At 44.6% G+C, this 21,883-nt stretch overlaps 1 protein-coding gene across 12 annotated transcripts in view, besides 5 other annotated features; it reads right to left on the reverse strand.

The window, feature by feature from the left end:
• CYTH1 (cytohesin 1) overlaps positions 1-21,883 on the reverse strand; it is a 108,226-nt gene that overhangs the window by 50,817 nt on the left and 35,526 nt on the right. For 2 of the 12 annotated variants that reach the window (XM_047437077.1, XM_047437078.1), the window contains exons 1-2: positions 4,584-5,396; positions 2,794-2,964 (exon numbers count right to left, since the gene is read on the reverse strand). The exons of 6 other annotated variants lie outside the window; for them this stretch is intronic. In XM_047437077.1, coding sequence (XP_047293033.1) covers positions 2,794-2,848 — 55 coding nt within the window. In that variant the 5' untranslated portion in view covers positions 2,849-2,964; positions 4,584-5,396. Of the gene's footprint in view, positions 1-2,793; positions 2,965-4,583; positions 5,397-11,827; positions 12,039-16,875; positions 17,055-21,883 lie in introns of those variants that run through there. 4 more of the 12 variants (XM_047437076.1, XM_011525475.4, XM_047437079.1 and 1 more) reach the window with 3 other exon arrangements.
• Positions 554-603: an enhancer, noted in NCBI's record as "active region_12904". NCBI's record gives its function as "activates an Ori minimal core promoter by ATAC-STARR-seq in GM12878 lymphoblastoid cells {active_cell/tissue: GM12878}" and the evidence as "EXISTENCE:reporter gene assay evidence [ECO:0000049][PMID:35858748]".
• Positions 974-1,053: an enhancer, noted in NCBI's record as "active region_12905". NCBI's record gives its function as "activates an Ori minimal core promoter by ATAC-STARR-seq in GM12878 lymphoblastoid cells {active_cell/tissue: GM12878}" and the evidence as "EXISTENCE:reporter gene assay evidence [ECO:0000049][PMID:35858748]".
• Positions 6,119-6,198: a silencer, noted in NCBI's record as "silent region_9070". NCBI's record gives its function as "represses an Ori minimal core promoter by ATAC-STARR-seq in GM12878 lymphoblastoid cells {active_cell/tissue: GM12878}" and the evidence as "EXISTENCE:reporter gene assay evidence [ECO:0000049][PMID:35858748]".
• Positions 8,963-9,022: an enhancer, noted in NCBI's record as "active region_12906". NCBI's record gives its function as "activates an Ori minimal core promoter by ATAC-STARR-seq in GM12878 lymphoblastoid cells {active_cell/tissue: GM12878}" and the evidence as "EXISTENCE:reporter gene assay evidence [ECO:0000049][PMID:35858748]".
• Positions 14,790-15,079: an enhancer, noted in NCBI's record as "active region_12907". NCBI's record gives its function as "activates an Ori minimal core promoter by ATAC-STARR-seq in GM12878 lymphoblastoid cells {active_cell/tissue: GM12878}" and the evidence as "EXISTENCE:reporter gene assay evidence [ECO:0000049][PMID:35858748]".

Raw genomic sequence — 21,883 nt, forward strand, 5'->3', positions numbered from 1 at the left:
CCCTGGCTCTGCGTTGTATCTTGTCTTTCAAGAAACAGCCATAGTGTGAACAATTTTCTTTTAGTGTCAAGAGAGTAGTACTTATTTAAAAGAATCATACTAAGTCCATGAAAAACAAATTCTAAAATTCTACATTCTACAAAATGTATATTGAGAGTCCCAGTGCAACACGTCCCTGGGCCCCTGTCTTCCTCCTTCTCACTGTCTAGTAAGCCATCCCACCTCTCCTCCCAGTCCAAGGAAGATTCCACTTTCCCGGGATCCACCAGAGTACTCAGTTACATCTCTTTGCTTCTTTCTTCTTGTTCAGAAGCTCATCCTCACCATCCGCCATCCGTCGAGTCTTACCTCCTACAGGGAGAACTCAGATTCCTCCAGCCATGCTCCCTGCTCAGTTTACCCATATTAACCATCACCTGATGACCTTCTTTATCACTTGGTAAATAACCAGGTGATAAATTACGTGATACAAACAAACTCAGTGAAGACAGCCTGGACTATCCACGCTGGTTATCTACCACCATGTTTCCCAGGGATTTCATGTGAGATTAAGCTCTTGCTTTTCAGTAATATCTTGTACTGTAAATATTCTCATAGCACTTTTCATAGTCCTAAGGGCTGTCTTATTTTGAGGTGACATCACTGGTTTTTACACAAATACACATATACACATACACACTCTCTTCAGGGATTGAAAGAGCCCAGCAGGTGAGTTCTGACCCGTGACTCTCTACAGAAGACTCAGTCATCATGTGCAAGGCTCACTATGACTCTCTCTTTAACATGGCCAGCTTCCACTACGCCGACAGAGTGGATCACAGCCGGGGTTTACCTGTGGTGTGTGAACCTAGGCAAAGGCTTTAGCTTGACCCAGGCCAGAGACTGCAGGTGGCAAAAACCTGCACTTTCAGTTAATTCTAGGCACAGACAACATGAGAAAAGGATGTCAGTGGACAAAGAAGTTACAAGAAAAGCTGCAACCAAGAAGTCTACAGTGTGGCCCTCCTCATATCTGAACAAAACAGATGCCACAATATATACCACACAATCAAGCTTATGAAACCACATCCATCAGAGAGAATCACAGGAAACGACTGGCCACAGAATAGGAATCTCAGGACCAACAGAAAACATGAACGTTTTAAAAAATAATTTCTCAGACTCATAATTCAACAGTCTTTTTTTTTTTTTTTTTTTGAGACGGTGTCTTGCTCTGTCACCCAGGCTGGAGTGCAGTGGCGCGATCTCGGCTCACTGCAAGCTCTGTCTCCCAGGTTCACGCCATTCTCCTGCCTCAGCCACCCTAGCAGCTGGGACTACAGGCACCCGCTACCACGCCTGGCTAATTTTTTTGTATTTTTAGTAGAGACAGGTTTTCACCATTAGCCAGGATGGTCTCGATCTCCTGACCTTGTGATCTGCCCGCCTCAGCCTCCCAAAGTGCTAGGATTACAGGCGTGAGCCACCGCGCCCGGCCTCAACAATCTTTTAAAAAGTTCACTGCATGGAAACGAGGCCCCCTGTCAGTTACTGTGGAAGAGGCCCCCTGTCAGTTACTGTGGAAGACACAATGCTGAAAAGACATGGTTTCGGCCCTCCAAGAGCTCATGTGTTACTATTCCTTTTAAAGAAAAAAGAAACAGGCAGCCCGTAAATGCCAAATAAATGCTGTCTGCAAGGTGCTATGCGGAGTGGGGCTCAGAGAAGAGCAGGGCCCAGGTTAGTCCAAGACGGTTCCACGCGAGAGCCTGGGAGAGGGCAGTCCAGGCAGAGGTGGAAAGGGCAACACAAGGGACAGAGTCTGGAAGAGCAAGCTCCAGGCAGACTGTGGTGCCTTTGAATTTGACACCGAGACAGGTGGATTCTATTCTGCTGTTGAGTTGGGCGAGAGATAAAGAAGCTCTTCTGGAAGAGCAAGAAGCGGCAGCCAGGCGCCATGAGAAAGAAAAGGGACTGGAAGCTTTGCGTAGTCTTCACTGCACCGCGGTCTGCACTCCTGTTCAGAAGCGGTAGCAAAGAAATAAGTGGTTTTTTGCCCTACTCCAACTCACACCTTCAACTACCATCCTTATCCAGCACTAATTCCCCAAACCACTACTGACTTCCCATCCTCTTTCCAGTTCTCTCTCTCAGGCTCAAGGACAGGTGCAACCAGAAAGTGACCCTCTGACAAGCGTGCAAGGGCAATGTGCATCAATCATTTTATTTCTAAAGCGGAAAATGAGGCACAAGGAATACATTCAAATCTCGCAGTTTCATCAGCATCCCAAACCCACGAATTCACAATGCTGCTCAAAGGTCCTCTCTGCCCATGAGGCGTCCCCAAACCCCAAATCACCTGGGCCACAGGCTCCAAGCACCACAGACATGATAAGCATAAAGCTTTTAGGCGAGTCAGCATTCTCAATCTCCCCTCCTTCTGTGTCCCATGAAAACAGAGGCCTGGGGTTTTTTTTACTTTTTTCTTTAAATTCTATTCCACTCCTTACACTTAAAAATGCCTCATTATTCTTTAGTAAATGCTAGGAGCATAAAATCTTCTTCAAAGAAGCAAAAACTGGCATCTGTTCCTGCTCTGAGAAGTCCTTGAAGATCTCTTGAAAGGAAGGTCATTTCTACCTGCACCTCAAAATAGAAACAAACTGGCTCCCTGTTCCAGACATCACCCTTACCAGAGTTGCCCCGAGTCCGGGTTTGCAAAAGTTTGGGAGAGGTGTAAGAAGGAGCTGACTAGGGCACCAGCCTTCCAAGTCGCGGGAAGGTCCAGGATACTGGCCCCCTGCCTCCACCTACCAGCAGGGCAAGGCTGGAGCAGGCACGGCCGACCCAAGCCTCCTGGCGAGTGCATCCTTCTGGTGCCAACTCAGTGTGTTAGGAGGGCAGGCTTCTTCTTCTCTGTCTTGGCTGCTCTCATGAGGCTGCTCTTGGACCGTCCCCTATCTCCTGCCCATGCAGGGGGCAGAACTGTAGGAGGAAGAAAGACGAGACCTATGGCAGGGGCAGCCAAGGAGAGCAGTGAGGAGGAGCAGAAGGCAGGCCAAGCTCTGCACCTTTGAGATCCAGGGCAGCACACCCACTCCAGAACTAGCTGAAGAGGTGCTGACCCATGAGAGGGCAGTGAGTCCCTGATATCATGCAGGTGTCCTATGGCCTCCCTCCACGACAAATGGATGCCCACCTCTAGGTGGCACGATATAGTCAGTTTCTCTGGACAAACTCTATTCTACCCCAAACACTGGTAAATCCTCCCCAAGCCAGGCTGGTTCCTGCAGCAGGGCCAGCCTCTCATCTAGACAGGAAAAAGAAACATGGAAAACAAAGGGGACCTGAGCAAAGGTAGAAAGACCCCAGTAATCAAAGTTCTCGTACATACACCACGATGTTTAAAAACATTATTTACGCCGGGTGCAGTGGCTCACTCCTGTAATTCCAGCACTTTTGGGGGCCGAGGTGGGTGGATCACTTGAGGTCAGGAGTTTGAGACCAGCCTGACCAACATGGTGAAACCCCATCTCTACTAAAAATACAAAATTAGCCAGGTGTGGTGGCACATGCCTGTAATCCCTGCTACTTGGGAGGCTGGTATTACAAGAGAATCACTTGAACCAGGGAGGCAGAGGTTGCAGTGAGCCAAGACCACGCCATTGCACTCCAGCCTGGGTAATGAGAGCGAAACTCCATCTCAAAAAAAAAAAAATTATTTACATTACCAACATGATGTTTACAGAAATATAATAAAAAGGATATTAAACTTCACATGGGAAAAAATATATATGACAATAGTCAGAAAAATATGAAAGGGAGAAAGGGTAACGTGAGGGTGTAGCTACCTGAGATTAAAGCACGTGAGGCTTTGGTAATTGAAACTGCAACGGAAGAAAAAGACCAGAAAACAAACTCAAGAAATACTGAAACACACACGTAGCACTTTGAATCGGTAAAGAAAAATAGGATTATTCAGTCAAGGGTGCTGAGCAAATAAATAGCCAGCTAGCCATTTGGGATAAAACTAAGCTGAAATGAATTCTAGCTTAATCAAAGATGTTAATGTAAAATAAAACCTGAATAATTCTAGAATAGAGCATGAATTAGTATAGTCATAATATTGGTGAGTCTGCTCATTTGCGACATGAAAATGAAAAGCTTCTGAGTGAAAAATAATATCCCATAAGCTAAAAGGTAAACAACTAGGACAATAAATTCACAAAACATATGACAAAGGGTTAATATCTTTTTTTAAATTAATTAACTTATTATTTTTAGAGAGAGGGTCTCACTCTGTACCCAGGCTGGAGTGCAGTGGTGTGATCATAGCTCACTGCAGCCTCAAACTCCTGGCCTCAAGCGATACTCCCACCTCAGCCTCCAGAATAGCTGGGACTATAAGTATGTGCCACACCTGGCTAGGGTTAATTTATTTAAGTCACAAAGAAAGCAGCATAAAAATTAGTAAAGCAAAGATGAATACAATGAGCAAAGGATATAAAAGACAGATTACAAAAAGAGAAATACAAATGGTCACACAGAAGAAGATGCTCACAGTCACTATGTGTTTAATGCAAATTAAAACATGAATAACATACCATTTTCCATTAGTCTGGCAGGAATCAGAATGCCAGATGAGACGAAATACTGTCAGGGGAGTGGGCTACACAGGCAGTCTCCCGTGCTGCTGGGAGAGTGTAAACTGGTACAACCTTTTGGCACTAGCAAAACATAAAGAGCACACACCTTTTGATTTGATTTGAATCAAACTTATGAATTTGATTCTTAAATTCCACTTAAGAGTGGATATGCTCCCCAAATTCCAAAAATTTTAAACTACCTAAAAACTACTTGGTAATTTAAAAGAATGAGGTGATTTGTAAATGCTAACATGAAAAGATCTCTAAGACACATCTGGTGAAACAGGATGGCACAGAATACCTTCTCACAAGTAACACCTACGCTTGCTAAACACACAGGGAGCTTCTGAGAAGGACACACTTGAAACTGCTAGCAGGAATCACCTTTCAAAGCAAGGACTGTGGAAAGAGAGTGGGGGAGGCCTGGACTCTTCCTCTTCTGCCTATCTGTATATCTGGATCCACAACTAACACAAAATTTGATGTTGAAGTTTTTATTCAAAGAAAATACAGAAATGCCCCCAGCCACTTATATTTGCTCAGACTGGCCCAATATTTCTATTATAGAAGAAACATCCTTGGATTCTGTTTTAATGCCCATGAAGTGCCTGTTGTAACTACACCCATTCTGCTGTGATTTCGTATGTGGTCTCTCGTCTGAATTCTGTGACTCAGAATCCCAATTCTTCACAGAAAACACAAAGGGAAAGAGACTTTAGACACCAGAAGGAAAGGCGTCAATAGTCACTGACTAGGCCGGGCGCGGTGTCTCACGCCTTTAATCCCAGCACTTTGGGAGGCTGAGATGGGCGGATCACGAGGTCAGGAGATCAACACCATCCTGGCTAACACGGTGAAACCCCATCTCTACTAAAAATACAAAAAAAAAAAAAAAAAAAATTAGCCGGGCATGGTGGCGGGTGCCTGTAGTCCCAGCTATTCTGGAAGCTGAGGCAGGAGAATGGTGTGAACTCGGGAGGCAGAGCTTGCAGTGAGCCGAGATCACGCCACTGCACTCCAGCCTGGGCGACAGCGAGACTCCGTCTCAAAAAAAAAACAACAGTCACTGACTCAAAAAAAGAAATTCACTGCATCTTTTTTTAGGTCAGAAATTGAGCTTCCATGATTCCTCTGTAGAGGAAGGAAGAACATGATACAAGTTACGAAATTATTATTATTATTTTTTTGTTTTTGAGATGGAGTCTCGCTCTGTCGCCCAGGCTGGAGTGCAGTGGTGCAATCTCAGCTCACTGCAAGCTCCGCCTCCTGGGTTCACGCCGTTCTCCTGCCTCAGCCACCCGAGTGGCTGGGACTACAGGCGCCCGCCACCACGCCCGGCTAATTTTTTGTATTTTTAGTAGAGATGGGGTTTCACCGTGTTAGCCAGGAAGGTCTCGATCTCCTGACCTTGTGATCTGCCTGCCTCGGCCTCCCAAAGTGCTGGGATTACAGGTGTGAGCCACCGCGCTCGGCACGAAATTATCTTCTTAAGGAAGAAGTGAATGTGCTAGGGAAAGTCCTCACACACCAGCTGATCTACAGGAAAGCAGAATTTGACTTTTCTGTCTCCATTTTTCCCCTAGTGTATTACCTAGGGCTACAGAATCAACGCATCACATAGTCAGGAGAAAAACAAAAAGGTAACTTGGAATATATGAAGGCAGGAGATCAGCATAACTCAACAGTGGCTGTTGAAACTTAAAATCCTGGCTGATTTGGACTCAGTTTTCAGAGTCCTTCCCAGGAGCCACAGCAATGGCTTTCATTTGCAGAACTGACCAGGGCTAGACTAGATAACTTCTAAGGCACCTCATGGCTTTAAGAGTCTGTGATTACACTACTGTTAGTGACTCTGTCCCAGGTAATTACTTAATGGCTCCAGCCGTAACACAAAACCCATATGAATTCCCCACAAGTTAAAGTTCTTCTGAAGGTAAACAGGAGAAGATGGTGGCAGTTTTAAGAGTCCTTTTCTAAAAAGGAAATCTCGTCGGGCGCGGTGGTTCACGCCTGTAATCCCAGCACTTTGGGAGGCCGAGGTGGGCAGATCACGAGGTCAGGAGATCGAGACCATCCTAGCTAACACGGTGAAACCCCGTCTCTACTAAAAATACAAAAAATAGCCGGGAGTGGTGGCGGGCGCCTGTAGTCCCAGCTACTTGGGAGGCTGAGGCAGGAGAATGGCGTGAACCCGGGAGGCGAAGCTTGCAGTGAGCTGAGATAGTGCCACTGCACTCCAGCCTGGGCGACAGCGAGACTCCGTCTCAAAAAAAAAAAAAAAACAAAAAAAAACAAATAAAAAGGAAATCTCAGCTAGGCTGAAAACAGAAAGAAAGGCAGAGACAAGAACACTATAAATCCAGTAAAGTTGCCTTTGCAGGATTATCAAAATCCAAGGGAAAAATGAGAGATGGATACTACTAAAAATTTCCAGGAGGTCTAGCCCAGCATCTCTGATTTAACCAGCAGTAAACTGCATGCAGGTTCTGTCAGCCTGCAGCCACACACAGGTTCCTGCGAACCCTCCTGAAGCACAGGGAGGGGTGGATGAAAACGGGAATCTCTGCTGTTTCCTAGGGCCACTCCTGCTCCAACTCTACCTCCTATCTGCATCTACAGTCCCTGACTTTGTCCTCCCTTCGGCTGACCACGCTGCAGGCTGATAAAGGCTCTTAATGCCCAGACCTGTGCCTACCAAGACCTAAGATACCTGCCTTTTCTCTCCACCGATACTGACATCTTAGAAAATTCCACCTGTTGCCTTCCACATCCCTCCTGTCTAATCAGACTTTGGGTCTTGATCCCCCACAGCCAGTCCTGTGCTTTCATATTCCATAATGAAGAGAAAACTTGGGAGGCTACACAAAGACTCAGATAATGGATAAGGGTCAGCTTTCTTCAGAGGGGCAGAATCCAAGCCCTTGTTTCTATTCACCTTCATTAAGAAGAAAGGGCAGTTCTAATCCTCTGTGTAATACCGTGAGCATTCATCTCTGGTGTACTCAACAGGAAAGCCTATAAAATTCAAACCAGAGTGAATCCTCTTCAAAACTTGTCACAGCAGATGGTGATACAGGTTTCTTGCTATGATGTGTGCTTTGTACAATGCCAAACATGCTCCTGCTTAAAAATAAAGATGTAACCATTTCTGATTCTGCAAAATACAAAATCCATAAGGAAGGGAGTGAGAAATATCTAGGGGGATATGAATTGATAGTTACAGCACCTCAGGTCTTCCTGCAAACACCACAACCTGAGCAACTTGTCCAACTAGAGACTACCACAATCACATGGCACGCATTAAAACATGGGATAACCACCGGGCGCGGTGGCTCCCGCCTGTAATCCCAGCACTGTGGGAGGCCAAGACAGGTAGATCACGAGGTCAAGAGATAGAGGCCATCCTGGCCAACATGGTGAAACCCTGTCTCTACTAAAAATACAAAAATTAGCCGGGCGTGGTGGTACGTTCCTGTAGTCCCAGCTACTCGGGAGCCTGAGGCAGGAGAATCACTTGAACCCGGGAGGCAGAAGTTGCAGTGAGCCAAGATCACGCCCAGCCTGGCAACAGAGTGAGACTCCATCTCAAAAAAAAAAAAAAAAAAAAAAAAAAAAAAGGATAACATGGAAAGTTCACGTCAAGGACAGCATTTTAGAAGCAATCTGAAAATCCAGTGTCCCACTGAGGAAGCCTATACTTCATTCTATTTGGCATATTTTCCTACAAATAATACTAGTTTATACACACATGCTATCTTACAGCTTAAAATGTTTTCTCATTTCCACTTTTTTAAATTTTCCAACAAAGCTCAACTGTAACTCTGCATATTTCCTGACAATGAACTATACACTGTTCTCATCAGTTTACAGGTAAGATAAAGACTCAATGAGTACAAATAATCTACCTCGGGTACACTACCAATAGAGCCCAATTCACATTCCGGTCACCGGCTGCATCCTCAGCTCTTTTTTTTTTCTCTTACTGAAATACACAGATTCACTTCAGCTCAGCGTTTACTGAGCATCTGCCATAGGCGCAGCCTGTGCTTGGAGCTGGGATTTAAACAGCTCCAGTCCCTGGCCTGCACAGAAAGTGAAGGCCAGTGGGGACAGGCATGTAAGCCCGTAGCAGCAGCACACCCGGCCACAGCGGCCAAGTGCAGCAAGTACTCACAGAATTCCAGGCGATGCCAAGAGGCTTCAGAGGGGCCAACCTGTGAGCCAGAACTTGAAGGACCAACGGATTCCCCAGATGGACAAGAACAGAATGGTGTATACCAAGCAAGATAAAGTGTATGGAAGTGACAGAGGCCAGCAACAATGGGCACACCACAGGGCAAGGCCCAGGACACAGCAGGGCTGAACTGGCACCCTGAAGGGGGCTTAGTGTCTGCCTGTGAAGGGCCTCAGGTCCCACACCAAAGATTTTGGAATCTATCCCAAAGAGATGCCAAAGAGAGAGTTCAAAGGCAAATCAAGGCCGGGCACAGTGGTTCACGCCTGTAATCCCAGCACTTTGGGAGGCCAAGGTGGGTGGATCACATGAGGTCAGGAGTTCAACACAAGCCTGGCCAACATGGTGAAACCTCGTCTCTGCAAAAAATACAAAAATTAGCCGGGTGTGGTGGCATGCACCTGCAGTCCCAGCTACTCAGGAGGCTGAGGCAGGAGAATCGCTTGAACCCAGGAGGCAGAGGTTGCAGTGAGCCAAGATTGCACTCCAGCCTCGGCAACAGAGCGAGACTCTGTCTCAAAAAAAAAAAGGCAAATCAAGGGGGACTGACATTAACAAGATTAAATAGCTAAAAATAATAATAACTTATGGCAGTTAAGAAAATAGTGCCCAATTAATTAAACTGGTTAATTCTCACTAACACACATATACAGAATGAAAACTGACGAATGTATGTACCAATGTACCAATGTACCAGGTAAAAAAAAGCTTTTTTTTTTTTTTTTTTTTTTTTTAGAGACAAAGTCTCACTCTGTCACCCAGGCTGGAGTGCAGTGGTACGATTTCGGCTCAACGCAACCTCAGCCTCCTGGGTTCAAGCTATTCTCCTGCCTCAGCCTCCAAGTAGCTGGGATTACGGGCTCCTGCCACCACACCCGGCTAATTTTTGTATTTTTAGTAGAGACAGGGTTTCACCATGTTGGCTAGGTTGGTCTGGAACTCCTGACCTCAGGTGATCCGCCTGCCTGGGCCTCCCAAAGTGCTGGGATTATCAGTGTGAGCCATCGCGCCCAGCCAGAAAGCAATATTTTTAACCTAAAAATTGTGGGTTTGAGATTAATGCAGCAGAAGAGTCTGACTTCCTTAAAGAATATTTTCAAAAACCCCCACATACCCTTTCTTAGGCGTGTTCTTTAGGGCGTAAGTCTAGTTAAAAGCAGCTCTATGGAAAGCATAACTGACTCTTAACTTCTGCCCTCCCCTGGGATCTCAGGGACCTGCCAGAGGAAACTCCATTTGTCCCCCTCCTTTTACACCTACCTAAATGCCACTCTGTCTCTCACGGCAATGTCTAAGGGCATCTATTTTAGCAGTGGTTTAAAGGGCAACACTGCCTTCAGTCCCAGGTGACAACACAAGGAAATACCATGGGAGGGGGTAAGGGAAGCGAAGAAGCACCAGTTCTTTAAGGTTACTTGGTCAAAGCAAAGCTGTTCAGTAATTCTACCTCTAAGCTCCCGGCCCCTAACCTCATGCCCCACCCCCATCACTCCCACTGTTGATTAGGGTAGTTCATGTTGACTTTTGAAGCCTCCAGGATAAAAAGTGACTATTACACAGCACCTCCGGTGGGTCTGAAGCTAGGCTCACCCGGAAGGACCAGAAGCAAGTAAGCGTGAGGGACCATGGCCAGGCCCGGCTCACTCCTGCTGTCCCAGCATAGTCACTAGTGTCCTCTTCCACTCTCAAAAGTGTTCCCTTTGGAACTAGATCTTGGCTAGTGTGGACTCACCTTTCAGTTAGAAAAGCACCAAGCAGGCAGTTCAGCCCTGGCCTGGCACGTCCCCTCACTACTGACCCCTCTTCAGATACAGAAGTATCGTTATGGACACCTGTGCATGCTTCCCTCCCAGCGTCCCCCACGCGTGCTGCAGCTTTCAGTGTCGCCCGTGGACACTGTCCAGGATCATTTGCACTTAGAGGTGGGGCTTTCAAATGTGCTTTATAGTGAACCAGAGTGGGAAAAGCCTAAAGAGGACACCCAAGTTTTATTACAACTTTCACAAAATCCACTTGAAACATAGCCAGATATTTATTCCAAACTTAAAAATATCACACATTACCAGCTACAACCCAGTACGCATTTTACTATTTTGTCTTGCAGCATTACAACACCACCATCTGATAAGGTGCCACAATAAAATACAATAAAACACACACACATCCACAAACACAACTCCTGTGTTGACCCAGGGCTTTAAGACACAGCTCTTCAGCAGAATCTCTTGGGATTTAGAAGGCACAGCTTGTCATCCCATTACTCATAGCTCCACTGTTTACAGTACAGGTGTGGAGCAGATAAAGGAAGTTCTACAGACCCTGCCCTCCCAGGCTTCAAACAGTCCTCACCTAACAACCAAAGGGAGAAGACCACATCGTCTTTTCCCTTAGACACATTTTATTTAACAAAACAAGTACTATTTATCCCAAATCTCACTGGTTCTTTCAATCCGATCTCTAATGTCTTTACTTTTTAGTATCAGATTCTTTCTGGATATTTGTGGAATTCCCAGAAGTTCTGACCAACTGTTATTTTGATACAGGAAGTAGACACAATCACCAAGTATGAAGTGGAATCTACCAAGAAACACCCAAGGCGGAACTCTAACGAAAGCAAAGATTGGAGGAGAACTTCTTTGGTTTAAAAACACTGAGTTACCTTAATATCTCTCTCTCTTCTCGCTCTTTCTCTCTCTCTCCTCTCTCTCACTCTCTGACACACACACACATACACACACACACACCCGAGAGAGCCTCAGCTTCCTAACCACTAAGAGACTATGCAGTCTTTCTCCTGAAAACAGTAAGATAAAAACCAGAGTCTAGGTTGGTCCTTAACTCCTCCCCAAAAGGCTCAGTAAACTATCCTCACAGGATTTCACATACTAATGAAAAGAGATACCTAAAACTCCACTCCATATACCCCAAGCCGCATCAGTCCCGGCCGGGGGCTGCGGCTTTGACTCACCGTCCTCCTCTTCGGTTTTAAGGACCATCTTGTTTCCTTACAGCGGGACACGAAAAGTCCGTTCTGTGCTTCCAGGAGAGCGGTAACTTACTGGGAGCCAAGTTTTCCTGTGGGGTCTGACTGGGAGGGGCCGGGGATACCTGTGAAGCTGTCCAGCCACTAGGGCAGCTCAGAGCTGCTTCCTGAACAGACAGGCAATGGCTGGCTGCACGCCTGGGCCAATCAACCTCCAGCCTCCAAAGAAGCGGCACTCCCAGTCAGTGCCACCACCCAGTTCCTGAAGTCGAGCTCAAGCACCTTCCGAGTGTGTTAACCATCTGCTTCCCTGAAAGCAATCTTACACTGGAGTCAAACTAGTTTAGTAGCCACACTTCTAGTCTTTTCTCAAACTCAACCAAAGTCATAGCCAGGACTCACTGCTGTTTTTCTCTTCACTTTCAAGTACAGTTGTCCCTTGGTATCCAAGGGGGACTGGTGCCAGGAACTCCGATGGACACCAAAACCCACGGATGCTTGAGTCCTTAATTATTTGCACATAAGCTACACAAATCCACTCATATACTTTAAATCATCTCTAGATTACTTCTAATACCAAATACAATGTAACTGCTATGTAAACAGCTGTTATGCTATATTGTTTAAAGAAAATGAAAAGAAAAAAGTCTGTATGTATTCAGTACAGGTGTGACCTTTTTTTATTTTCCAAATATTTTCCATCCACAATAGGTTAAATCCATGGATGGGGAGCCCATGGAAAGCCGACTACATTTTCTTAAAATGGAATCATTAAAATCCCTGGTCCCCTCACAATGAGATAATAGCCCATTTCCCAAGAGCATGACTAAGAGATCGTAATCATTACAGCATGTTATGAGGTCACAGGCTAAAAGCAGAAAGCAGATATTAGAGGCAAAAAAAAAAAAAAAATCCAAGGGCCAAACTCCCAATCTAAGTTCAGTTTCATCTCCATTATGATTTCTAATATGCTGCACCCAAAGATTCTTGCCTGCACAGTCCTATCATGTTCATGACACATATTCATTGTTGAAGATTAGAAAATAGTAACAAGGAAAAAAAACACCTTAATCCTATCACCAAGAGATAGCCATTGGTGACATTTTGGTAGACATTTTCCAGACTTTTGTTATAAGTATTATATATATTCTCTCTCTCTTCTATAGATACACACACACACACACACACACACACGATATTTTATATGTCGTTTTATAGCTACTTATTTTTACTTATAACATTTTTTCATGACTGTAAATGGACATCTATCACATTTATTATTCTTCTCAGTCTAGACATAATATTTAACCAGTCCCATATTGTAAGACTTCTAAGTGATTTCCAATTCTTCTACGTATCTCAATACACGTGTGCACACGTTTCGGCACATCTCTTTAATTATCTCCATAGAAAAAAATTCTCACAAGTAGAACTGCTGGATCCAGACATAGCTTCCCACCTCATCATCGTAATAGATAACATTTATTGCATGCTTACTCTGTGCCTAGCTTGATGTGACCTAACTCATCTAATCCTGAAAACATCCCATGGGGTGAGTGTCCTCGCCATCCCCAGATCACAGATGAGGATGCTAGCACCCAGAGACGTTGCATGGCTTGCCAAAGCACGAGACCTGGCTGCAGAGCCCATCCTCCGCACCCTGCTCTCTGCTGGACTCCCAAACCCCTCTCCTATTAGTCTTCATTGTAAATGCAAACACCTGCAGCAGCTTTGCAGGAAGTGCTAGACTTTGGCCAAGTCTCACTGGGGAGCTGGGAACACACACATCTACAGCAAGACAACGGGGCGCTGTCTCCAGTCAGACTCTGAAGGTGCTGACATGACTCCAGGGCAAAGACTTCATCACATTCTCTTCTTTCTTGCCTAATAACAGTTGAATAAATACATATGCATATATTTAAAAAAAAAAAACACTTTGTTTTGTAGAGGCAATTAATATAAACCCAACGTGTCACCTTTTGGTTTAGTATGTCAAAATCACAGTTGTAAGTCCCAGCCTGCACCATTTCAAAACCTATGTTTAATGATTCCCAAACAGCATTTCTATCTTCTGGTATCAGGTCTGATTCACAGCCAGTGATCCCAACTTGTAAGAGGGCAGGTCACTTCTATTTTCTCCCTACTGTCAAATGGTATAGCGTTTCTCTGGAATAGACACCCAAAGGCAGAAAAGCTGGTCATGAGGCCTGAGTACTTAAAGCTTTCACAGATGCTGCCAAAGTGCTTGCCACGTCCCTGATGGGACCAAACTTAACTTCTGCCAGTCAGACAGTGGGAAACGGTTTCTCGTTGTTGTTGGTCATTTGCACTGACCTGATTACTGATGATGCTGATTATCTTTTCGTAAGTTTGAGGTATTTCCTCTTTCATGAATTGCTTTTTCAAAGCCTTTGCCCACCTTTCTATTGCTTATCATTTTTTAAATGATTTGTAGATTACAAATCCTTTGTATGAAATGTTACAAATATTTTGTCATAACCAGTCACTTGTTTTTAAAAAGTTTTTACAAAGATAGTTGTATCTTTTGTCTTATCTGTTTCGTTCAACATTCACTGAGCACATTAAGTGCCAGCCACTAGTGAGACATCAGAGGACTAAAGAGACAAAATGCCTGCCCTCGTGGCGTCTCCACTCTAACGAGATGGGAAAGGTGGGGAAACAAGTAAGTAAAATATGCAGTATGTCAGAAAATAAGTACTGTGGAGTGGGGGAAGTGGAAGTGCAGTCAGGGAAGGCCTCTGCTGAGAAGGGCCAGGAGGCTACTGTGGCTGGAGCAGGAAGAACAGTGTAGGGAGGAGTGGAAGATATGGTCGCAGAGGTGAGGAGGGTGGTAGGCGAACTGCATGGGGCCTTGGCAGCTATTTTAAGGACTCTGGTTTCCATTCTGGGTGAGATGCATAGCTGCTGCCAGGGTTCTGAGCAACAGAGCATTTTGTGGCTTCCTTTGTAACAAGACCACTCTGGCTGTGGGGAAGAACAGACTGGAGACAGCCAGCACAGGAGCTGGAGACCAGTTGGGGGGCTGCTATAGTCATCCAGGTGAGACGGGTTGGCGGCTTACTTGATAAAAGTGGCCATATTCTTGCTATATTTACTTTCAGGGTACAGCCAAGGATGTCCCAATGGAGTCCACGTGAGGTGTAAAAGAGAGAAGTCAAGGGTGACTCCGAGCTTTCTGGCCTGGCAAGTGAAAGAATGGAGCTGCTATCTTTTCTTTTTTTTTTCTGAGACTGAGTCTCGCTCTGTTGCCCAGGCTGAAGCGCAGTGGCGCGATCTCGGCTCACTGCAACCTCTGCCTACTGGGTTCAAGCAATTCTCCTGCCTCAGCCTCCCGAGTGGCTGGGATTACAGGTGCCTGCCACCATGCTGAGCTAATTTTTGTATTTTTAGTAGAGGCGGGGTTTCACCATGTTGGCCAGGCTGGTCTCGAACTCCTAACCTCAAATGATCCACCCACCTTGGCCTCCCAAAGTGCTGAGATTACAGGCGTGAGCCATTGCACCAGGCCTGGAGCTGCTATCTTCTGATATGCTGCCAACCAGGTCCCCCATCTCCACTCCCCACAGCCTCTGCCTTAAAGGCCCCATCATTCCTTCCACCCACCCATGGCCTCACAGGTCCCCTGCTCCTCCAGACCTTTTGACTTTGAGCTTCTGCTCCCACTATTCAATGCCTCATTCTTGTTATACTTCCAGTTCACATTCTCAAAAGAGGGACTCTGACTGGCTCGTTTAATAGCCATCATCCCTATTGGGCACAGCAGGCCACCTCATAGGCTCCTGGCCAGGCAGCGTCCCTTAAAGCTGGAAGCATGGCAAGGCATACCTGGCTCAACACCACACTGTCATCTCTAGTACAACAATTACCACTGTTTGTTAAAAAAGGAAATAATGAATCTCATGTCTCCAATTCCTTAAAATAGACATTTAACCACTGCATCACCAAATTGTATGTTTCACTCACTCATAAGTGACCATATAATTTATCATCCATATTGAGATATTTTTGAGATTGCAAATGGGTACTATTAATAATTACATCAGGCAGTCAGCATAAACTGGGATTGTCTCTGGGAAACTAAAACATATAATAACCCAACTCATGAGGCATATCTATAACATCAATCCCAAACAGAGTGTTAGATTACTACGTATTTATTTAAATGGAAGCTTTTAAAAAGTTTCAAAGTACACTTTAAAATAACTAAAAAAATAATGGCACATTACAAAACCAGAACAATAATCTAGGGCCTCAGAGCAGTGTCTGAACAAATGATATCGGAAACATACAGGAGCTAGCACAGGCCCTATGAAAAGCAATAAATCAACAAAGTAGAAGAAAACACTCGTTCGTCATTCACATTAAAAAGCACACATTAGGCCATTTTGATGCAAGTGTTGTTGATTCAAGACATTTTATATTTTTAATTAATAAATCCCTTAAATAGATTTTAGCCTCACCCCCTCCAGCAATAGATTAGGTGGGAATACACAAGCATGTAATGGTCTAAAATGTTTCAAAACTAGGCTGGGAGTTGTGGTTCATGTCTGTAATCCCAGCACTTTGGGAGGCCAAGGTGGGAGGACTGCTTGAAGCCAGGAGTTCAAGACCAACCTGGGCAACAAAGCAAGATCCTATTTCTACAAAAAAATTAAATAAATGACAGTAGAAAAAAAAACGTGAATATTTATATAATATTCTAGGGAAGGTTTGTTTTTTGAAAGCATAATACCCATATCAATCATTATCCCAGAGACAGAAACATTCCTAGAGTGGGAGTGTGCAGAAAGGTAAGATAGGCACCACCTATAAAAGTGAGGGCAGAGTTTAGAGAGGACACCAAGGAGTAATAAAGCCCCCCAGACTAGCAACAGGGGCAGCCCCCATCACTGCTAAGTCAAGACGGGGTGCGAGGGCATCATACTGCTGCTAAAAGTGGCAAATGGGAGCTCTCTGGCAAGAGTGTCAGTAGAGGATTCAGCAAGCCTCAGTTACCAGCAGGAGAGAATCACCTTGACTTCACTCTTCTCTCACCCTTGCGTCTCCTGGTCAAACCCAACCAGGAACCACACTCCCTCCAGGACAGCCTCCGGCAGACAGCAGGATGGAGCCGGACAGGAAGTAGAGCTGGAGGCAAAAGGAAGGTGTCGGGTGCAACCCTCAAGCCAGATCCTGGGGGCCAGGTTTCCCACTGTCAGGAAAAGGAATTTGGAAACATGAAAAGGGGGAAGGCTAGAAAGAACCCTAAGGTTGGAATGGAATTGAAGGAGCTGGTATGTTTAATGGTTGCATTATGTATATGTTGTAACTTACTTAACCACTTCTACTGTTGGGCATTAATCTTTTTCTTTCCTTATATCCTGTAAAATGCTGCAACATCCTTGTAACCTTTGCCTCCTCAGCTCCTACTAGTTCCTTAGGCTAAATTTCTCTAAGTGGGCTTAAGAGCTGGTCAAAAGATACGAACTACTTTAAGGCTCACTATACACTGCTATGAAACTGATTTCCAAAATAACTGTTTTCATTTACCAGCTGTCTTCTAACATGCTGCCCTGCTGGGCCAGTGGCTCATGCCTATAATCCCAGGCCTTTAGGAGGCTGAGGTGAGAGGACTGACTGAGCCCAGGAGTTTGAGACTAGCCTGGGAGAGAAGGTGGGACCCTGTCTCTACAAAAAATGTAAAAATTAGCTGGGCGTGGTGGCACATGTCTGTGGTCCCAGCTACTTGGGAGGCTGAGACAGGAAGATCGCTTGAATCTGCAAGGTTGAAGCCACAGTGAGCTATGATTGTGCTGTTGCACTCCAGCCTAGGCAAGAGTGAGACCCTGTCTCAAAAATAAATAGGCCGGGTGTGCTGGCTCACGCCTGTAATTCCAGCACTTTGGGAGGACAAGGTGGGTGGATCACTTGAAGTCAGGAGTTTGAGGCCAGCCTAGCCGACATGGTGAAACCCTGTCTCTACTAAAAATACAAACGTTAGCTGGGCGTGGTGGTGGGCGCACCTGTAATCCCAGCTACTCGGGAGGCTGAGGCAGGAGAATCACTTGAACCTGGGAGGCAGAGGTTGCAGTGAGCTGAGATGGTGCCACTGCACTCCAGCCTGGGAGACAGAGCAAGACTCCATCTCAATAAATAAATAAATAAGTAAAATAAAAAATAAAGTGCTAGCCTAGCCACAGCTAAATGCACAGTGTGGATTATCATTTAAAACACACGCCAACTAGACAGACATAATGTAGTATTTTAATGTCTACGCTTCTGTGGTGTGGTGGTGTCAGAGCTTCTGTTGTATTTATTTAGTGTGGGCATTTGTCCTGTGAGTTACTTAAAAGTATTCCTTGGCACTTAAAAAAAGTAATTGGAAAATGTTGCGTAACTATTTTTGTAGAGACAGAAAGATGTCTATGTTATACTGTTAAATGAAAAAATCATGTAACAAAAATGCATAGACTATAAAAATGAAAAAAGAAATAAGCCAGGAAGAATATATACTAAACACATTAACAATCATTATCTCTGGGCGGTGGGATGGTAGAGAATTCTCCCATCATCTCCGTCCACTCACCAGCCCCTCCTTCTCTGTTCTCGTCCACAGTACACCAGACTCCACACTGGTCTCCAGCCAGCAGTCTTACTTTCCAGCTTCGCTCCCGTGTCATGGCCTCTGAAGCTGTCTACCTAACACAAATCCCAAATCTCAAATCCCTGAAACATGCCCAAATCCTAAACGTTGTGAGTGCCAACATGACACTCAAAGGAAATGCTCACTGGAGCATTTTGGATTTCCAGTTTTCAGGTTAGGGATGCTCTGGCAAGTACAATGCAGGTACTCCAAAATCCAAAAAAATACTGAAATCTAGAACTTGTCTGGTTCCAAGCATTTCAGATAAGAAATACTCAACCCATAGTCCTTTTTGATAGCAGCCTATTCTTGTTTCATTCATTTAATATCTGAGACTCTTAAGTATATACTTTTTAAGGCTTTCTTCTACATGTCCCATGACCTGTTTCCTTAAACTATTTGCTCTTTTGCTTGCTAACACTGAAGATTTTCCTTAAGTCTCTAGCAAGCATAGTCTACTTCTTCTCATTTAAGAGTGACACACTAATAACCTGGTTAAAAGCCGTGTGGTAGGCATGGCCTATAGATTGATGTGTGGCAATGTAATATGATAAGGCAGTAATGTGTAGAGACCCCACATGTGGGGCTCGGTAGCTTATTTTTGCTTAGACTAGTTACCCAAAGAAGTATTCTCCAATCCCCTACCTGGGCTGTGTGGAGTGTAAAACTGACCACCAGTATTTGTGGGGGCTACACTGAGGAAGAAAGGATGGGAATCTCACAGTTAAATATACGGGCTTTTTCGGTGCTGCTTCTTGGTTGGTATTTTTTAAAATAAATATAGATTTTCACTCGCTCTCTGTATCTTCACAGCCTTCTTCAGAAATTAAACCTTCATGTTTACCAGAAGTGCAAGAGAAACTGCCTTGCTGCAGGAGATGGAGAGGAGACCTGGAAATCTTAACTGCCAACAATGAACACTTTCAAACCACCCTCGTTTCCTTATCTCCATTCTCAGAGGTGCTGGGTACCCTGCAGCCTTTCTGGAATTTGGGGGTAAATCATTTTGCTTCCTGGTATCCTCTCTCTGCAGCTTAGACCTTTCCTAACAAGCTGCCAAATGGGAGACAGCTTAGGGCATACAATCACGCAAGTGTCCTCCAAAGTCCCGAAGAACATCTGCAAGGTGGGGTGGAGCATAACAAAGACTTGTCCAGCCTCTGCAGGCAGAAATCCAGACACCTGGACACACTGCACAATTCTTTCAAAGGTTCCTTCTACTTTGGTTACCTAAAAAACATAGAGGTATACTATTTTTGTGTATTGACATAAATGCATCTATTAGACCTTGGGGGAAAAAAGAGTTGATGGCAAAGGATATATGTAATGTGTCAACAAGAATTCAAAGAACTTGCCATTCCTTGACATAGGCTTACCTTGTACCTAGCAAAGCAAGCTATGGGATTTCTGATCACATTTGCTAGTACATACCTTCATGACACAGACTTTTTAGCACTTTTGTTATCAAAAGAAAAACTCAAAACCGATTAGATGTCAAAAAAAAAAAAAAAAAGAAAACCTAAACCATATCCTTTGTTTTATGTACACAATTTGCATTTACTTCAATTTTTGCCTAAGGACCAGTAACTCTTGCAAGAAAAAAAATAAGAGAGGTATGCATCACAAAGACTGATCTTATTTAGTTTCTATCAAGAAAATCCATGACCAGTTCCATAACTTGCCACAAAACTGAAAAACTGTGTGGTTTTGAGTATGTACATTTTGGGGATTTTTCTTTCTGAGAAGGGGGTCAAGAGCATTGGTCAGATGCTCAGAGAGGACCCTTGAGCCAGGACTGCAGTCTCCTGTGCACCGTGGAGCCTGGGAGCATTGGGAAGACCTCGAAGAACTCTGGTTCAAGTAATTGCTACTTTCTGGAGGCAAAAGAACAGTGCCCCTTCAGGACCCACCATCGCCAACCTCACCACAGCCCTCGGAGGCATCTGGAAACATGTCAAAAAGACTTTGGAAAGTATTAATTTGACATATTCATGATGATAAGGTAAACAGAAATAACCTCCTCCATAAAGACAAAGCAGAAACAGCACAATTTACAAGCGAGAAAGAATAAGAAGAAACCTGAAATTGAAATAAACTTCACACTACTCCTAGAAGTGGTTGCTACAGTAGTTTTAAACGCCCTTTAAAATAAAGTCAAAAATACTGAATGTCATAAATTCCATCTGTGCTGCCCTCTGCTGGCTACATGAAAAGATTGTTAAAAGATTGACATAGAAATTGCACCAAAAAATTCCATTACCTGGCTGGGCGCAGTGGCTCACCCCTGTAATCCCGGCGCTTTGGGAGGCCGAGGCGGGTGGATCACAAGGTCAAGAGATCTAGACCATCTTGGCCAACATGGTGAAACCCCGTCTCTACTGAAAATACAAAAATTAGCCAGGCATGGTGGCACACACTTGTAGTCCCAGCTACTCGGGAGGCTGAGGCAAGAGAATTGCTTCAATCCAGGAGGCAGAGGTTGCAGTGAGCCGACATTGTGCTACTGCACTCCAGCCTGCCAACAGAGCGAGACTCTGTCTCAAAAAAAAGAAAAAAAAATTTCATTACCTTTTGAACATATATAGGGAGAGGAGAGGCAATTCATGTTCTACCCAGCGCATGTGCCAGTTCCTATGTGTATATTCACCAGTACTGATTTCCTGAAAGGGCTTTGTTAATATCAACATTGGTTTGCCCTTTGTCCACACACACTGGCTAATTTGAGGGATAGTGATAATAGGCTTCTACTATACAGGCAGACATAGGCAAAAAACTATATACACAATAAATAATAAGTAACATGCTAGAAAGTGATGGGTGCTATGGGGAAAAGAGAAGTATGTGGCAGGGGGTGGGGTCAGGTATTGTTAAGTTTTAAATAAGACGGTCAGAACAGGCATCACTGCAAAGATAAAATTTAAACCTCAGTTACTTCTTCCTCAACTCCTCCAAAAAAATATTCAGGATTCTCTTTTCTAAAATTCTGAGGTATACAAAATACATGTATATTCTTCTCTGAACCTCCTCTATTCCTCACCATGTAGACTAATGAAATTACGCAACACCTGCAAGATTTTATTACAAAGGCCACTTTCCCACAAGGAGACCCGAGCTCCAAGACCCACAGTGACAGTGCGGCGACCGAGTTTCCTACTTCCTCTGTCTTCCTAGGGTAAAAGTATCACTACATGGTAACCTGAGATTCTCTTACTTTCCATCTGAAAGAGCCTAACACTTTTAGAATGCCGACTCTCCCATTTTCTAGCTGCTCTTCACATATTGATTTACTCATCAGAGTAATAATTTGAAAGGCCAGGTGTGATGGCTCGTGCCTATAATCTCAGCACTTTGGAAGGCCGAGGTGAGAGGATCACTTGAGCCCAGGAGTTCAAGACTAG

The sequence above is a fragment of the Homo sapiens genome, chromosome 17, assembly GCF_000001405.40.
Source record: "Homo sapiens chromosome 17, GRCh38.p14 Primary Assembly".
Classification (NCBI taxonomy): domain Eukaryota; kingdom Metazoa; phylum Chordata; class Mammalia; order Primates; family Hominidae; genus Homo; species Homo sapiens.